This window comes from Homo sapiens, chromosome 15 (assembly GCF_000001405.40).
Source record: "Homo sapiens chromosome 15, GRCh38.p14 Primary Assembly".
In the NCBI taxonomy this organism is placed as follows: Eukaryota; Metazoa; Chordata; class Mammalia; order Primates; family Hominidae; genus Homo; species Homo sapiens.
The window spans coordinates 70,270,903-70,288,653 of record NC_000015.10 but is presented as its reverse complement, the minus strand read 5'-3'; the positions used below and the strand labels follow the sequence as shown (position 1 = coordinate 70,288,653).

The 17,751-nt window shown below is 47.4% G+C and overlaps 1 annotated feature.

Moving 5' to 3' along the window:
* Window positions 16,930-17,224: an enhancer, noted in NCBI's record as "tiled region #9099; K562 Activating DNase unmatched - State 9:DNaseU". NCBI's record gives its function as "activates a minimal TATA promoter and a strong SV40 promoter by Sharpr-MPRA in K562 cells {active_cell/tissue: K562}" and the evidence as "EXISTENCE:reporter gene assay evidence [ECO:0000049][PMID:27701403]".

Here is a 17,751-nt window from a genome sequence, read left to right as displayed (position 1 = left end):
TGTGTAAAAGACAAAAGCTGTTCCTCAGCTCCCATCCTGGTAAAAACCACCCATTCATTCATTCATTCATTCCATAATCCCTACTTTCAGGCACTATGCTGGGTGCTGACATTACAGTAAGGCACATAGGCCTGGAAACCAATTATTGTGAACTGTATGACAAATGACACATGAGAAATGATATATGAAAAATACGGGCTCCAGGAGCCCGGAGGTGTCTGGGGAAGTCTGGGAAGACTTTCTGGAGGAGGTGACACCTGGCAGAAATGGGGCATATCCCAAGGTGAGAACGGCAGATATAAAGGCCTAGGGAAGGTATGAGAGTCATGTCACATGTTCAAGGCATCAGGAAGTAGAGTATTGAAGGGATGGCAGGGCGGGGGCAATGGGGCTAGGTTTGGGATTGTATTAGCCAAGGTGAACGTTGGAATTGTATCACAGCAATAGGCCTTGAAGAAGGTGAATGTGGGGCTGGCTGTTTTAGATTTTTTTTAAAAGAAATTTTAATAGGTTCAAGATTCAAAATGCATAAAAAATATACAGTGAAAAGTTTCCTTCAACCCTATCCTGCCACCCAGGTCCCCTCTTCATGGTCAACTAATCTCTAGTTTCTTATAAGTCCTTCCAGAGCTTTTTCATTTTACTCTTACATATACTAAGCTCTTTCTCTCTCTCTCTCTTTATATTTTTTAACCCCAAGGATAGCCCATTCTTTATGCATCTCTGCACATTGCTTTTTATTTCACTTTAAGAACATATGCTGGTGATTGTTTCTATTTTTGCATGGCGGTGTCATGCTGCATGGTAAAGAGCCGTACTTTATCTAACCTGCCCCTATTGATGGACATTTTTGTTTCTTGCTAATTTTTTGCTCTTACAATAAGTGTTACAATAAATAATCTTGTACCTATGTAGTATCCTCATTGTGCAAATACACCCACAGAAAAAGAAATTCTAGACATGGAGCCATGAGGGTCAAGGATATATGCAATTTTATTTGCATTTTAAAAAATTTGATTTGAAATTTAACTTGCAAAAAGAAGAGTGTACAGCCAAATAAATTTGATACATGTGATACACAGGCTGTGTATATACCTGTGCAATCACCACCCACATGAAGGTGTAGGTTACCATAGAATGTTTCCAGCCCCATCTCATGGCTTGTCTTGGTGGATATCCAGGACAATTTATTTGTACCAAGGCAATTTATTAGTCTGACCTCTACCACCAGGATTGGTTTTGCCTGTTTCTGAATTTTGTATAAATGGAATCATAAAGAATTGATGTACTCTTTGTATCTGGTTTCTCTTGTTCAAGATGACATCTGTGGGCTGGGCACGGTGGCTCATGTCTGTAATCTCAGCACTTTGGGAGGCCGAGGCAGGCAGATCACTTGAGGTCAGGAGTTCGAGCCCAGCCTGGGCAACATGGTGAAACCCCATCTGTACCAAAAAATACAAAAATTAGTGGGGTATAGTGGTGGACAGCTATAATCCCAGCTACTCGGGAGGCTGAGGCAAGAGAATCTCCTGAACCCGGGAGGTGGAGGTTGCAGTGAGCTGAGATTGCGCCATTGCCCTCCACCAGCCTGGGTGACAGACAGAGTGACACCCTGTATCCAAAACAAAAAAAAAAGATGTCATTAGTGAAATTCACCCCATGTCCCATGTCGTGTTTAGCAGTAGCTTCCCCCCCCCCCGCCCATTGCTGGCTGGTGTTTCATTGTATGACTATATTACAACTTATTTATTCATTCAACCCTTGATGGACATTTGGGTTGCTCCCAGTTTTAGGCTATTGTAAATAATGCTGCCATATACATTCTTTGGGGGAGCACTAATTAAAGCTCATTTCCATTAGTTATATCTGGGAGTAGCATTGGTGTGTACATATTACATTTTTGATGAATGTTACCAAGTGCCCTCTGTAGAGGCTGGTGCAATGTGAAGAAGTGCCTTTTCCCTTGTTCTGCATGTGAAGTGCTCAGCTTAGCACAGTGCCTGGGACAGCGTCGACACTTCAGAAAACCATGCAGCCCTCAGCTCCAGAAGTGGTAAGAATGCCTTATGAGCCCTAAAGCCCCACTCTGAGCAGGAGATTGTGATTCTGCCAACGTGTCCCACTAGAAGGATCAGGTGAGAGTGAGGAGGAGTCAATGAACTCATTTCCACCCCCAGAGAAGTATCCTTAATGAATAATAATAACTCCTTTGTTTATGTAGCTCTCTGGCCTTTCTAAAGCACTTTGACATGCACCAGTGGTGCTCAGCCAGGGCTCACATTAGGATCCTCTGGGGAGCTTTCCAGAAAAACCAATGCCAGGGCCCCACCCCCACAATTCTTATTTAATTAGGCTGGGGTGGGGCCCAAGCACCAGTGTTTTCTAAGCCTCCCAGATAATTCTGGTGTGAAGCCAGAGCCAGGAGTCACCGACTGCCTCATCTTCTGTCATCCGCATGGCAACTGCTTGCAATGGGAGAAGTGATATGAGGCTGGTGTACAGAAAGAGAGAAAGGGTTCTAAAATAGTGTTTATAGTCTAACAATAATGTTCTGCTTTGTGCCAGGAATAGTGCTGAAGCTTTCTAGTCCTCATTTCCATTAATACCGTATGAGAAAGGCATTGTGATGATCATTCCCACATTACAAATAAGGAACCGGGCTGAGCGGGTGGGGTCCCCAGCCAAGGCCACCCAGCTGGTAAGTGGCAGCACTGGGTCCAGAACACTGGCTGCCTCTGAAGAGTCAGCACCCACACTTAAGCCTGCCTCCAGGTCCTAATCCCCCATTTTGCCCAGAAAAAAGACTAGAAGGAAATACAACAAAATGGTATCAGTGGATCTCTTTGGTTGATGTGATTGTGGGTGGTGTTTACTTCTATATGCTTTTCTGCATTTTTCAAATTTTTACCAGTGATCATGTATTTGCCTATAATCACAAGCCAATGAAAGTCCTTTCAAGTTGTTGAAATAAATAACAGAATCATTTTCTGAAGGAGCCAGTTAAGTCCCAGAGTGTCCAAAACAGGTGATGACAGAATAAGGGCCACAGCTATTTCCTGAGTCCCAATGCAACACTTGAGACCTCTCAGGAGGAGAGATAGGTGTGATCTTTACTTACAGGAAGGGGCTTTGGAAAGGCATGAGAAAATGTCCCCAAGCAAAAATTGCTGTAGTGTCTTCATTTGACTGTATATGTTCTTGTAGAATAGCCAGAATATAAAGAAAATAAAAATAAAACAAAATAACCTAACATCTCACCACCCAGATGTAAACAGTGGGAAAATGGGGAGGACTACTCTTTCAGATAAGTCCTTGTCCATCAATATTCATATAGATCTGGATAAGCATAGTTTCCCATCCACAGATCATGCTGTAAGCATGCAGTCTGCAACCTTCTTTTTAAACTCAGTAATGTGTAATGTGCATGTTCATGAATAGAGCTACATGTCAGTCCTGGAATGGCTGCATACACACACACACACACACACACACACTATTTGCAAGTGAGATGTGGTGGCAAAACCCTCTTGAGCAGAACCAAGCAGAGCTACCTGATGAGGTCATGCAGCCAACAGCCAAGGTCAGGTGCTGCCTGCCAGCTTGGGCTCTAGGCCCACAGTTTGCTCTTAACAAATGCCTGTGGGCAATGACAACACACACACACACATGCACACACACACGCACCAGACAATCTCATTCTCCCTCCATGCAAGGTGCTTGGGTGGTAATGGAATCTGCATGTCCAGAGGCAGGCATAATTGAATAGCTGAGGGCATTAAGTCCTTGATTAAACTGGTTGTTCATTTGAAGGGACAATTAACCCAGCTAATATTCCAGGCCAGCCCAGCAGGTCCGTCCCCATCAAAGGACATATTGAGCGAATATTGAAGTGACTGCATTACCTTTATGGAGGAGAGTAGGGCTCCAAGGTCCTTACCTAAGGCCTGCAGCCCAGGTCAAGCTGGGGCCGCAGACACTTCAAAGCAGGGAGACTCCTGGAGTCCAGCCATCCTGGCATGGGGTTACGAGACCTTGAGTTTGTGAATGAAAGAGGAAGTTTCCTCTGGGGAAGGTTTTTCTCACGGATGAGTGGCCTACCCCTGTGCTTGTCTGTTTCACATCTACATGTGATGCGTGGAGCCTGGATGATGTTTCAGCAGCCATCTCGTGACCCAAGTGTGGATCTCGCTGGCTCAGTCCTACCTCTGGGCCTTTTGTTCTCTCACAGTTTTCTTATTACTTTATTTTTATTTTATTATTATTATTTTTTGAGAGAGAGTCTAACTTTGTCATCCAGGCTGGAGTGCAGTGGTGCAATCTGAGCCCACTGCAACCTCCGCCTCACAGGTTCAAGTGATTCTCCTGCCTAAGCCTCCCAAGTAGCTGGGAATACAGGCGCCCACCACCATGCCTGGCTAATTTTATTTTTTTGTATTTTTAGTAGAGATGGGGTTTCACCATGTTGGTCAGGCTAGGCTCGAACTCCTGACCTCAAGTGGTCCACCTGCCTTGGCCTCCCAAAGTGCTGGGACTACAGGCGTGAGCCACCGTGCCCGGCCAAGCTTTCTTATTACTCAAGCCAGTTGGGTAGGGGTTCCCCGTTTCATGCAGGAGAAAGCATCCTGACTGATAAGATGGGTCCTTTTCATTTCCTGGCACCTTTCCTGGAGAGTTGGAAGTGAGAAAAAGAGGAGACAGGGAAGGATCTTCCTCTCTTTCTCTCCTAATACCTGATGTCAGCCACAGGGAAGGTGGCTAGACACATATATCCTAGAGCACATATATCCCCATTGTCTGAATTCTAGAAGGTTGAATCCAGTAGCTGTACTTGTTCTGGCCCTGGGTATCTGACAACGGAGGTGACTGTGCTGGGTGCAGAGCAGGGAAACACAGCCAGGGCTTGGCCCCCATGAGCTACCTAGGTCAGGCAGGGCCACAGTAATGACTGACCATCTGCCAGGCATGGCCAGGGATCCCAACAGGCTGGAGAGACCAGGAGTGGGCAGAAATGGGCAGGAGTGGAAGCAGATGGTGCCATGGTGGACAAACCCAGGTCCTGCAGGAGCAGATAGAAATAAGTCCAATGATGGAAGCATAGCTTCATCTAGGTACTGTGCTCTGGGCTTTGCATGGGTTGCTAACATCATCTTTATCACATGTATGAGGTAGATACCGCTACCCATTTACAGATGAGAGAACTGAGACTCACAGGGGTTAAGTGGTTTGTTCAGAGGCACAAATTTAGGAACACGGAGGCAAGATTAAAGTTTAAGATTGTACAGCTCCAAAGTCTGTAACCATTCTTTGTCAATTTATGCAGGCATGCCTCCATCCATCCACCCATTCATCCATTCATCCATCCATTTATTCATCCATCTATCCATCCATCCATCCATCCATCCATCCATCCATCCATCCATCCATTTACCCATTCATCCATTTATCAATCCATCCATGCATCCATCCATCCATCCATATATCCATCCATTTATCCATCCATCCACCCATTCATCTATTCATCCATCCATTGATTCATCCATCCATCCATCCATCCATCCATCCATCCATCCATCCATTTACCCATTCATCCATTTATCAATCCATCCATGCATCCATCCATCCATCCATATATCCATCCATTTATCCATCCATCCACCCATTCATCCATTCATCCATCCATTGATTCATCCATCCATCCATCCATCCATCCATTTATTCATCCATCCATCCACCCATCCATTTACCCATTCATCCATTTATCAATCCATCCATGCATCCATATATCCATCCATTTATCCATCTATCCACCCATTCATCCATTCATCCATTTATCCATCTATCCATCTATCTATCCATCCATCCATCCATCCATCCAATCAGCCAGGGTCCATTCTCCCATTTATTCTACAAATATAATCTGATCATTTGTTCTGTGGCAGGCACCATATGCCAGGTGCCAGGAATAGAGCAATGATGGCCATGGTCACTGCCTTCTCAGTGTGCTGAGTGGACATTGCAGGCCCCCTTGGATAAAGGCAGGTAATTGCATTCTGGCTGAGGGTCATGCTTCTTGCACCACCCCAAAAGGATTTGTGAGGACATACCCTGAATTCTGAAGCCCTTTGGAATGTTCTGAGCCTGTGCTGGGTTGGAGTCTCGCCTCTGTACATCTATTGTATGTGTGACCTTCAGAAAAACACACTTTTTCTCTCTGGGGCCTCGATTTTCTCATCTTCAGAGGTGGAATAAAAATGTCTTATGTAATCTTCACAGGGGTGTTGGGAGCATAAAGAAAAATACTTTTCTTAAAGAGCTTTGTAAACTCTAATGTTCCGGGCATATATCAAGTTGCGAGTCCATTTGTCACATCTTTGAGGAAGTGATCTTCTGCTTTTGTTGTGATCAGTGAGCCTCAGATAAGAACAACTTCTACAAGCTTCATTGTCATGGGTGATAGGTTTGCTCTGGAACCCTAGAGACTCATGTGTGCCTGTGTAATAAGCCTCCCCATGGTAACAGAAGTGAGGCTGAGACCCAGGAAAGTTAAGTGGCAGCTGAGGTTGCAAGTGGCTTAGAAGCCAATGCTTAGGCCTCTGGTCCAGGGCCAGTCCCTGACACTATTGGCTGCCAGCTGTGCCAGGAGAGAGGCTGAAGTTGGGTCAGACATTCTGACATTCTCTGGGGTTCTGCTGCTGCCGTGTTCAGTAGAAGGTCATCAGAGATGAATACGGTTTCTTCTAGATGTGAAGGAGAGCCAGAGTGACTCCCTAGTGACTCATAAACAGAGCAGCTTGTCAGGGCTGCAGCAAAGATGTTTCTGCTGCTCGACTCATAGCAAAAGGGGCACCCTGTCCCTGGGGTCTGAAGAAGCAAAGCCTGTGCCCTTCACCTCCTGTGAGATTCCTTTTCTGTTAACTTTTCCTCCCATGAGATGCCACGTGAGTGGTTACTTTCCAGGAGACTGTCTTGGGAGGCCTCTGCACCTTCCTGCTACAGAATTGCTCTTGGCCTTGGAGGAGATGTTAACAGTGGGCTTTGCAGAAAGCAGCAACACCTTTTAACCTTCCACCTGCTTTGAGTTCTACATGTCTGTTTGTTCAGGCAGCCCCTTTGGCTTGAAGACCCTTGGCTGCTCCTCTCTGAACAGTAGGTGATGGAGGAAGGCCCTGATTCTGCCCTGTATCACCTGCTGATGTCACCCCAGATCCTCAGCATCTCACCTGTTGATTTTCTAGAAAATGAAGCGTGGCGGTCAGGGTGGGAGGGGAAGAAGGTGAGAATTAAGAATAGATTGTTTTAAATCTTAGGACTTAGAGTTTAAAATATAGAGCCCCAAATTATTGTTCCCCATCTTCCTATAAAATAAAGTCTCTCTTATTCTCTCTCCCTCTCTCACACACACACACCTTTCTATATTTGTAGGCAATAAGGAGCCTTGGAGTGTGTGTATAGGAGGCCCACAGTGTGTGATGGAAGCATACGTGTGTGTGTCTTGGCACACATGTATCTGCATGGGTGTGTGTGTGTGTACGTTTCTCTGTGTAAGCTGGTGTGGATAAATGTGTGTTCACGCAGATGAATGTCTGTCAGTATATGTGAGAGTATCCCTGTGGGCGAAGGGGCTATCTTTAGTCCCTGTTGCCCTGTTGGGGGTGCATGTCAGCAGATCCCCTAGTGGGCAGGAGGCGGGCCTGCTTGGGCTCTAGAACCTTAGCCAGGCACACAGAGGAGCCTGGCCATCTCAGTCGATGAGGAGGTTGAAGCAATTTCAAATTCCTGGAAGAGGAGCTTCCTGTTTTTACAGAATCTATAGACTCCTGGGCTGAGAAACTTTATATTTAAAGATTGAAAATACCAATTTTATAATAAGGTAAAGGTGGGTTTTCATTTATCTCTATTAAAGGCAATTACAAATGATTTCTTGATTAAGAGAAATAGAAAAGACGATCACCCTCCGAAACCTCACATCACGATGATTCATTTGATGTTAAGGTTTAGGGTATCCTCAGCCAGAACTGTGGTTTAAAAATGCAGAAATAAATTTTTCAATACCAAAGAATCAATAACCTACACTCAGGCTGAGACACAAAGCTGTGTGTGGAAAGAACTCTGGAGATCATAGGTGTCTAAGCTGTGTGAGTGTGTGTATGGTGTATGTGTGTATTTGTGTGTGTTCACATGTATGCATGTCTGTGTGTATATGTGTGCATTTGTGCCTGTGGCTGTGTATATGTATGTCTGTATGTATCTATATGTGAATAGGTGCATGTTGTATGTGTCTGCGTGCTTGTGTGTAAATGTGTGTATGATGTGTGTATATGTGTGCATTTGTGTGTCCATTTGTGTGTGTATGAGTGTGTCTGTGTGTATGTGAGTGTAACTGTGTATCTGTGTGAGCGTGTGCATGTATATGTGTCTGTGTGCCTGTGTGTATGTGAGTGTGACTGCGTGTGTATCTGTATGTGTGTGCATGTATATGTGGCTGTGTGCCTGTGTGTATGTGAGTGTGACTGCGTGTGTATCTGTATGTGTGTGCATGTATATGTGGCTGTGTGCCTGTGTGTATGTGAGTGTGACTGCGTGTGTATCTGTATGTGTGTGCATGTATATGTGGCTGTGTGCCTGTGTGTATGTGAGTGTGACTGCGTGTGTATCTGTATGTGTGTGCATGTATATGTGTCTGTGTGCCTGTGTGTATGTGAGTGTGACTGTGTATCTGTATGTGTGTGCATGTATATGTGTCTGTGTGCCTGTGTGTATGTGAGTGTGACTGTGTGTGTATCTGTATGTGTGTGCATGTATATGTGGCTGTGTGCCTGTGTGTATGTGAGTGTGACTGTGTGTATCTGTATGTGTGTGCATGTGTATGTGGCTGTGTGCCTGTGTGTATGTGAGTGTGACTGTGTATCTGTATGTGTGTGCATGTATATGTGTCTGTGTGCCTGTGTGTATGTGAGTGTGACTGTGTGTATCTGTATGTGTGTGCATGTGTATGTGGCTGTGTGCCTGTGTGTATGTGCATATGTTGCATGTGCATCTGTGCATGTCTGAGTGTGGATGTGGCCCTGGACATGTCCCACTGCTCCTGGGCCTCACTTCCCACATTTGTACAATGAGCGTGATATGGTTTGGATGTGTGTCCCCTCCAAATCTCATGTTGAAATGTGGCCTCCAGTGTTGGAGGTGGGGCCCAGTAGGAGGTGTTTGGGTTATAGGTGTGGATCCCAAATGAATGGCTTGGTGCATCCTCATGGTAATGAGCGAGATCTCACTCTATGAGTTCACGTGAGAGCTGGTTGTTTAAAGGAGCTTGGCATCCCTCTTGCTCCCTCTTTTACCATGTGACACCCCTGTCCGCCCTCCACCTTGTGCCCTGAGTAAAAGCTCCCTGAGGCCTCCCCAGAAGTTGAGCAGATGCTGGTGCCGTGCTTCTTGTCCAGCCTGCAGAACCATGAGCCAATCAAACCTCTTTTCTTCATAAATTACCCACTCTCCAGTGTTCCTTTACAGCAATGCGAAATGGGCTAACACAGGCGCTGAGCACTAAGTGGACTCCCATTTCTGGAGGGCACTGGATGCTCAGCTATGGTGTTGGGGCTGTGACGGGTTCCATCCTCCCCCTTCTCTGCTGCAAGTTCACCCCCTGACTCCTCCCCCTCCCTGCCCCTAAACCCTCATGCAGCGTTCAGTCCTTCCCGCTGCCCAGGCACCTGGGAAAGGCTGGGAACCTTCACCTGCATCATGTGCTCAGCTGTCTCTCGCCCTTACACCCATGTGACCATGGGCGAGTCCCTTCTCATCCCCGGGCCTCAGGCAGGAAAATGAGGTGGTGAGAGACTCCTCTGGCTTGGTCATTCTCAACATGCACATTTCCTGACCGTGGTGAGCTGGGAAGTGGTCTAGGAACCGTCACACACACACCAAGCTCCTCTGAGGACTGGACACTCCAGCAATAACTGTATCAGTGTCCCAGTGCCCAGCACAGGGCCTGGCATGGAGCAGGTGCTGTGGAAGCAGGGACAGAAGGAGGGGTGTGTGGAAAAGGTGAGGCTAAAGCAGCTGAAGCAGTGCTCTTGCAGCCTCCCCACTCCCCCATCCCCATCCTGGCCCCGTCATGCCCTGATTTAAGACTCAGAGCTCCCCACATCTCTCTCTCTTCCTCCCTTACTCTCCTGCCTTGCTGGCATCACAAAATCACCTGGGGAGAAATAATGGTGCCCAGACCCCTGCGAGACCAAGTAAATCAGAATCTCTGAGTATGAAGCTCTGCCATCCGAAGTTCTAATGAACAGTGTAGGTTGAGAACCTCCTCCCTAGAGGCCAGAGAATCTCAGGCTCTCTCGACAGACTAAATCTCATAGAGACCAAATTAAAGGTCTACAACTTTCAATCTACTTCCAAGTTTCCTGCTGAGCTCCTAAAATACAGATCTGGGGACGTCCCCAGAGCTTCTGATTCTGAAGGTGTGTCCTGGACCTGGAAATGCACATTTAAAATCAGCTCCAAGATTCCTGGTTCCGAGGCAGGTGGTCCTCGGCCCTTCTTTAACCAGCTCCGGGAGGCTTTGTAGCCAGGCTACATAGAAATGAGGGGATCCCTGAGTCTCACACATGTCATAGGCTGCTTTAGGATAAACATCATCCATGGTAGGGAACCCTGGCACCCTCCTCCTCAACCCTCAGCCATACTTTAAAAACCAATCTAATTTTGTTCCTTTCTTCATTCAATCACTTCTCATTGCCTTGATGACAAAGACGTTAATCCCTAATGTGGCGTAGGAGGACCTGTAGGTCTGGTCTGGCCTGGGGCCTCCCCTTGAGCCCTCTCCCTGGCTGTAGGGCCTCTGCGGGTGCAGCTCTCTCTGCTCGGCTCCCCACTTGGCTGAGCTAAACTCCTGCTCACTGCTTAGAGCTCTCCTGACCCTTCAAAGGCCCAGTTCACCAGTCGCCACCTCTCACAGATCCCAGAGCTCCAGGCGTGAATCCGGATCCTCTACCAAACCACATTCTCCAGGAGGGCAGCAACTGGGTCAGTTTTGCTCCCCATTCAACCCCGTAACCCACATGTCTGCCTGGGGCCTGCCATGTAATAGGTGCTCAATAAATATTTGCAGAATGAATAAATGACACAAAACACATACTTTTTCAGTTTTGGCGATTCTTATCCTGAATAGATTTTACAGCCTCACTGATGGACAAGGGGATGTGTAACTGAGGATGTTCAGATAGTGGAGCATGACAGGCAGACCTGGCATGTGTTTGTGCATGTGTGCCTGCTGCAAGTGTGTGGTATATGGGAGTTAGAAATTACATTTAGGTTGAACTTAGCGACCTCTCGGCCCATAGCCTTTTTCCAACAATCACAAAGTGGCTCTGCGAATTGGGTTTTTCTCTCTGCATTAGGACCCCTGCTCCAGGTGCCTGCAGGGGATGGCAGTGCTCACAGCCTGAGTGTCCTCGGGAACTGGGGGAGAGGGAGCCTTAGTTGTATGGGGTTCTACTAGGAGAGGGTTCAGGGGTTACAGAAAGAGCGTGGCTCCTGAATCTGACCAGCGTGGGTTCAAATCCAGGCTCCATCCTTTCCTCACCAGTGTTGTTACCTTGGCTCAATTCCTCATTGTCCTCAGTCCAGTGGGAATAATCCTGATGAACCTACTGGGGAGAAGGGTGTCCAAATTGGTGACGCAGTGTGCTTTGCTCTCGCCTTCTCCGAGGGAACCTTCCTTGAAGCACCCATCCCCTCTTCCTTAATCCCCAGCACACTGTCTAGCACAGTAGGTGCTCAATAAAATCTTGTTGACTTGCTTAATGTGTCACCTAGTCTAGAGACTGTCTCATAGTAGGTTCAGTAGCTCCCTTTCCCTCCTCAAGACTTCCAAGCCTGAGACCAGGGTGAGTGGGTTCACACCCCAGCTCTGTGTATGTGTATCCTGGTCCCTGTGACCTTGAGCGAGCACATATGGTTTTTCTGGGCCTCAGCCTCTTCCTGGGTCAAAGGAGGGGCCTGGAGCCTATGTGTTTTACCCATTCTCATGTGGAGTTTTGCCTTGTCTGAGAGGACTGTGCCCAGGGATGGTGAGGTCCTGGCTGGGGCACCCCAGGGGCTGGTGCAGATTGAGGGGCAGCAGGGCTGAGAGCCGCAACCTGGCTGGGTTCCTGGCCTGTGAAAAGGGAGCTGTGTGTTCCTTCCTTACCTGCTTGTAATAGAAAGCTGCTCCTTCGATTGAGCTGTTTTCTTCTTTTGCCCTGAGCTATGAGGAGTAGATTAGATGAAAAAATTATCAAGCCTCCTCGTCTAGAATAAATATTCTTGAAATGGAGCAAGTTATAAATAAGCAAGCAGCAATATCCTGTGTTATGAATATATAATTTCTATCTTTAATAGCTGACTAGGCCCCAGGGACTGTCTGAAAATGGCCTGTCTGGCCCTGATATTTTATATATTTCTTAAAAGGCACCCAAACTTTTGTTTCTTAGCCCTTGGACAGTTAAGTCTTAGGGGGAAATAATGAGAGTTGAAAGTCTCATTGAGCAAATGCACCAAGCGCAGGTACTTGGTTTACAAAAAAAAAAAAAAAAAAAAAAAAAAAATCCAGAAGATGCAAAGGCTCATGTTGAATAAGAGAGTTAGGCCTGGAGCTTGTCTCATCCCACCTTCTCATTTTACAGAATAGGAAGTGGTGGCCCAGAGAGGGGAAGTGACTGACCCAAAGTCACACAGCAATGGACTATGTTCCAGATTCACCAGGCTGGCTCCCTTCTCCAAGTGGCTGCCCGCAAAAGTCGAGGGAGGGCCTGGAGACTCCAGGTTCCACAGCCAACAGAAACTTGCCAGGGGGACTGACAAGGAGGTTTGCCTCCAGTGGAGGACGAATCGCTGGATGAAGGGAGTCACTATGTCTCAGAGGCAAGACTGTGAGGTCTGGTGAGCCATGGAGGCCAACTGTTCCCTCTCAGACCTCCTGGGCCAAGTCTGCATCGCAGCCTGTCGTCAGGAGCCTCTGAAACCTGCCCTTTCTGCCTCTGCAACCCTGACAGCCAAGGGGCAGTACAGATACTTGTCGCTCCTCCTATCTAGCAGGAAGCCTGATACCATGAAAAGACAATGGGCTGCTGACCTCACAGATCCCAACTGACCAAGGGCTCCTCCACCTCCCAGCTCTGTGGTACTGAACAAGCTGATTGACTTCTCCTAGACTCAGTGCTTTTTGTCTGTTAAATAGCGATGGTTGTGAGGATTAAAAGTGATAGTGTGTAAAGCACCCAGGATGAAGCCAGGTTTGTACCAGGTGCTATGAATGTCACCCATCCCTCCAGGGCTGCAAACCTTTCTTCCCCAGTCCACAGCATTGTAACTGTGACTACCTGTCACTGCAGGCCAGCCTCTGAGCCCCTGGCTGAGATGAGCCCAGTGATTCTATGTTCATTCATCTGGTCTTCCAGGAAGAATGTATCTTCTCGAAGCCCTCACATTCCTCTCCCTGGTCCCCAGCAGTGTCCTGCAATAGGACTGCCCACACTGTAGGTGCTCAATTAAGGACATATTGGATAAGTGCCTACGGTATGCCAAGTACCAGGTCTAATAATGGCTAGTCATTAACAAGAATTGACTATGAGTTGCATTTACGAATGCATTGATCCATTCAATCCTTGGCACAGCACCACAAGATGGGCATTCTTATCCCCATTTAAAAGATGAGCAAAATGAGGTTTGCCAAGGTGATTAGGTCACTTGTTCGAAGTTATACATCTAGGCATGGCAGGGCTAAAGCCGACTTCATGCAGAGCCTCTTTTCATCCCTCCACATTGACTTCTTGCAGGATGACCTGCTTTTTCTAGGATCAGAGTAAAGCTGGAAAACAAATGGATTCATCAGCAGGTTCCATAATGATGGGAGGAGGGGTGGGTGGGGGAAATATTAATGCCTGTGCAATGTGCATGTTAAAATGTAAATGTCCTCTCCTGTGAGTCGTGAGGCACACTCATCATTATGAGCCAGCGTCTGAGGTTCTGATTTTGATGGCATTAGCTTTAATGGCTTTATTTTTTTTAAAAAACCATTTAATTACTAATCAGAGCTGCCTTGCAAGCTAATGTGAGATGCACACTTTGCATCTGGGGAAAGAGCCTTCCTCAGTGGGCAGCTGAGAAGTCTGCCAGAGGCCAGAGGCTGGGCCAGCTGGTCTCCCCCTCCTTAAGGGGGTTCCCCCACCCCTGGTCCCCAGACCTCTCTGCTATTCAACACTTGTCTTTGAAATTGCAGAATCTCATTACATCTGAGATGAACCTTACTTAGTAATTGGCTGGCCTATTCCCTCCCACCTCACCTCACAAAAGGGTAAACTGAGGCTCCAAAAGGCCCCACGGGTTCCAAAGGCTGGAATTTGTGGAGCTTCTTTCTTACTTGCTAACAGATTTCTAGCACATAGACTCATTTGCATTCACAATTTCAATAGTCAAAAACTTTCCAATGCTAAAACCTCATTTTCTGAAGCTAATTTAGGTCTCATTTTCATTAATAGCTTGGCAACAATCACGCAGTGGAAATTTCTCCCAGGTCGAAGAAAGAGCCCCGGTTGGGGAATCAGGATGTGTGTGAGCTCCTGCTGTGTGTCTCTGGATAAGTTGAATCACCTCTCTGGTCTGTGGTTTTTCTCCACAGTCAAATGAGGGGACTGGGTTAGCTCTGTGTTTTTCCAAACATGATTCTATAACTCCTCTGTAGAATACAGTATGCAAAAAGATGGAAATACTTGTTATTCAGAAAAGAATGCTTTTGGCCAGGTGGGGTGGCTCCTGCCTGTAATCTCAGCACTTTGGGAGGCAGATGAGGGCAGATCACTTGAGGTCAGGAGTTCGAGACCAGCCTGGCCAACATGGCAAAACCCCCTCTCTACTAAAAATACAAAAATTAGCTGGGCATGGAGGCGCACGGCTGTAATCTCAGCTAGCTGGGAGGCTGAGGCAGGAGAATCGCTTGAACCCAGGAGGTGGATTGGAGGTTGCAATTTTTTGAAAGTGTACAGAGTCTAATGAGTTTGCTGGATTCAAGTTAATCAGGGTTTTGTTACCATTATTTATTTATTGTCCAACATGTGTGCTTTGGGCCTTTCCTATAACAGAGTACCTGCAGACCCTCTAAGAGGAGGCTTTTTTTTTCATGGCAATTTTATCAAGTCCTTTGAAGCACAAGAGTTCCCAGGAGCGTAGAATGGGAAACTCTGGCAGGCATGGGGCCTAGGTCTCCTCTGTGTCACACTCTGGGACTTCTGTGACTCCAAGAGATAAGAAATAAAGGAGGCTGCTCTAGAGACATCCTCTTAGCCTTAAGCTTGGATCACTCACTTCCTCTGAACATCACCATGCTTTTGTTCAGAGGCACTCAAAATCCACCTTGGGGACTTGACCTTACCACTACTTGTCCAGGAAACCTGTTCTGGCCACAATGACACTCACCAGGCCCTGTGTCATTGCCCCAGCCAACCTTTGCCCCCTTCCCCTCTTCCTGGGTAAGCCCCTAAGCCCCTCCCCTCATCCTTTGCAGCACCCTCTCACATGCCACCTTGCTCAGAGGCAGCAGTCTCCCACCCCGGAACAAGCCCCAGGCTTGGAATCAGAGCCAGACGCAAGCTCTGTCTTTGTGCCTTGGTTATCTGGTTCTGGATCAAGGACTGAACTTTTTTCCGCTTTACTTTCCTAAGACAAAAATGAGAGAGGATCACGGTACTGACTGTCTTGCTTTGGGGCAAAGATTAAAGGGGCTTGAATATCTTGTCTTAGCCAAAGTTTTCTACAAAGCAAGGCCTGAGGTAAAGGCCTGTGTGCTACTGCTCTTTTAAGCAGTGTGATGCGAGGGCCGCAGGAGTGAGGGAAACGATAGGCAAAACTGGAGACAGGAAAAGCCAACGCAAGGATGCGGGAGAATTCAGCCACCCAGTGGCATCAAGAGCAACTGAGTGCTTGATGTCATGAGAAGGTCTCTCAAAAGGCTATGTAGGCCAGGTGCGGTGGCACATGCCTGTAATCCCAGCACTTTGGGAGGCTGAGAAGAGCAGATCACTTGAGGTCAGGAGTTCAAGACCAGCCTGGCCAACATGGCAAAGCTCCGTCTGTACTAAAAATACAAAAATTAGCCAGGCATAGTGGCCGGAGCCTGTAATCCCAGCTACTGAGGAGGTTGAGGCATGAGAATCACTTGAACCCAGGAGGCAGAGGTTGCAGTGAGCCAAGATCATGCCATTGCACTCCAGCCCAGGTGACAGAGCGAGACTCTGTCTATAAAAAAAAGAAAAAAGAAAAAAAAGGACCCTACGTAGCAACTACTTCTTAAGACAGTCTATCCAGAAAGAGGTGAGAAGAGGAATTTACCCGTGGGCTCCAGTATCTTATGGCTCAAAGGATTGCCCCTGGTGTGTTCACTCCCCCAGGTCTCCTGGTTGCACATGTGTGCCTGCTGAGTGGGTCTTGCTGCATTTCAAGTGTCACCAGCAAGAGGAAAGCTCCACAGCAGAAGTGATGTGTGCACAGACAGGAGATGCACTGCTTTGAGGTTGTACCTACATTCAGTTGTTCAGAGTCACATGAAGTTGGTCATTGCAGGGGAATGTGAGGGGCAAAGGTCTAAGACCCCAGAGATATGGGTGGTTGAGAGGCTTTGAGGATGGTGTAAGAAGTGTCTCTGTGTCACCCTGTACCACCCACAGAGGCATCTACCCTTCCATCACATCCAGCTCCCATACAATCTGGGGCCTCTGTGTTTGGTGTGAACTGAATGTCCCTGCTTTCTCTAAGAAGTGGGTACAAGTCCAATGACTACAGAGTTTCCTTGGGATCTCTGAGATGACCTAAGGCAAGAGGTTAATAAAACAAGACACAGTGCCTGCACCTGTCCTGAGGCCCTTATGGGTACTCATCAGATCTCCCCTCCATTCCCCAGTCTCCATGTCCCTCACCCTCAACCGGCAATTTGTCTGCTCTGTGCTGCTTACTGAGCAGGATGACTCAGACCTTCATCCCGAAGAGGTCTGAGCCCTTGGCTTGTCCTGTTCTTATTGAGCTGTTGTTGCTGCAATTGCTGACTCACAAGTCCCTTTCATCAGGCAAAAGAACACCAAGAGACTCGCAGAGAATCCCTGCTGTGAAAAGCAACAGGACTTGGCCCTCACAATAATCTGGTGAATTATCCTGCCAGGATGGTAACTCCTTTCATCACTGCTAGTCCACTAGAAAACTAAAGTGACAGGTAGCTGTCACAGCTTCAAATCCAGTGGGACCTTTACAGTGTCACCTGCAGGAAATACTAGCCCCACAACAGAAACATTGGCTGTCTGTGGACCATGACCCCTAACCTCACAGAGCCTAAGGTTTGTGGCAAGTGTAAATCCTGCTAGAGGGTCACTAGGAGTGATGGCAACAGGGAATGGACGTTCAGCCCTGGCTTCCCAGACCCATGGATTCCAGCAGTAGGAAGACAGCACCATTTATTGCCTGTTGGTTAGGTGCATAGACAACATGCTAAAGACAGTCCTCCAGTCCCACAGGGGGTGGTCCCCAAGCTAGCACCTGAGCTCAGCCTTTCACAGGCCATTTCACCATTGTCATGGGCCACTGCTTCTCTGTAATGGGTACACAAGAAGATTAGGGGAGTCCATGGCCATGTGCCCATTGTCATACCTCTTTTGCAGTAGGGCCCACCCTTGATAGGAGTCACTGACGTAGGCGCTGCCATGTAGGTGGAGAAGGCATTCTGTG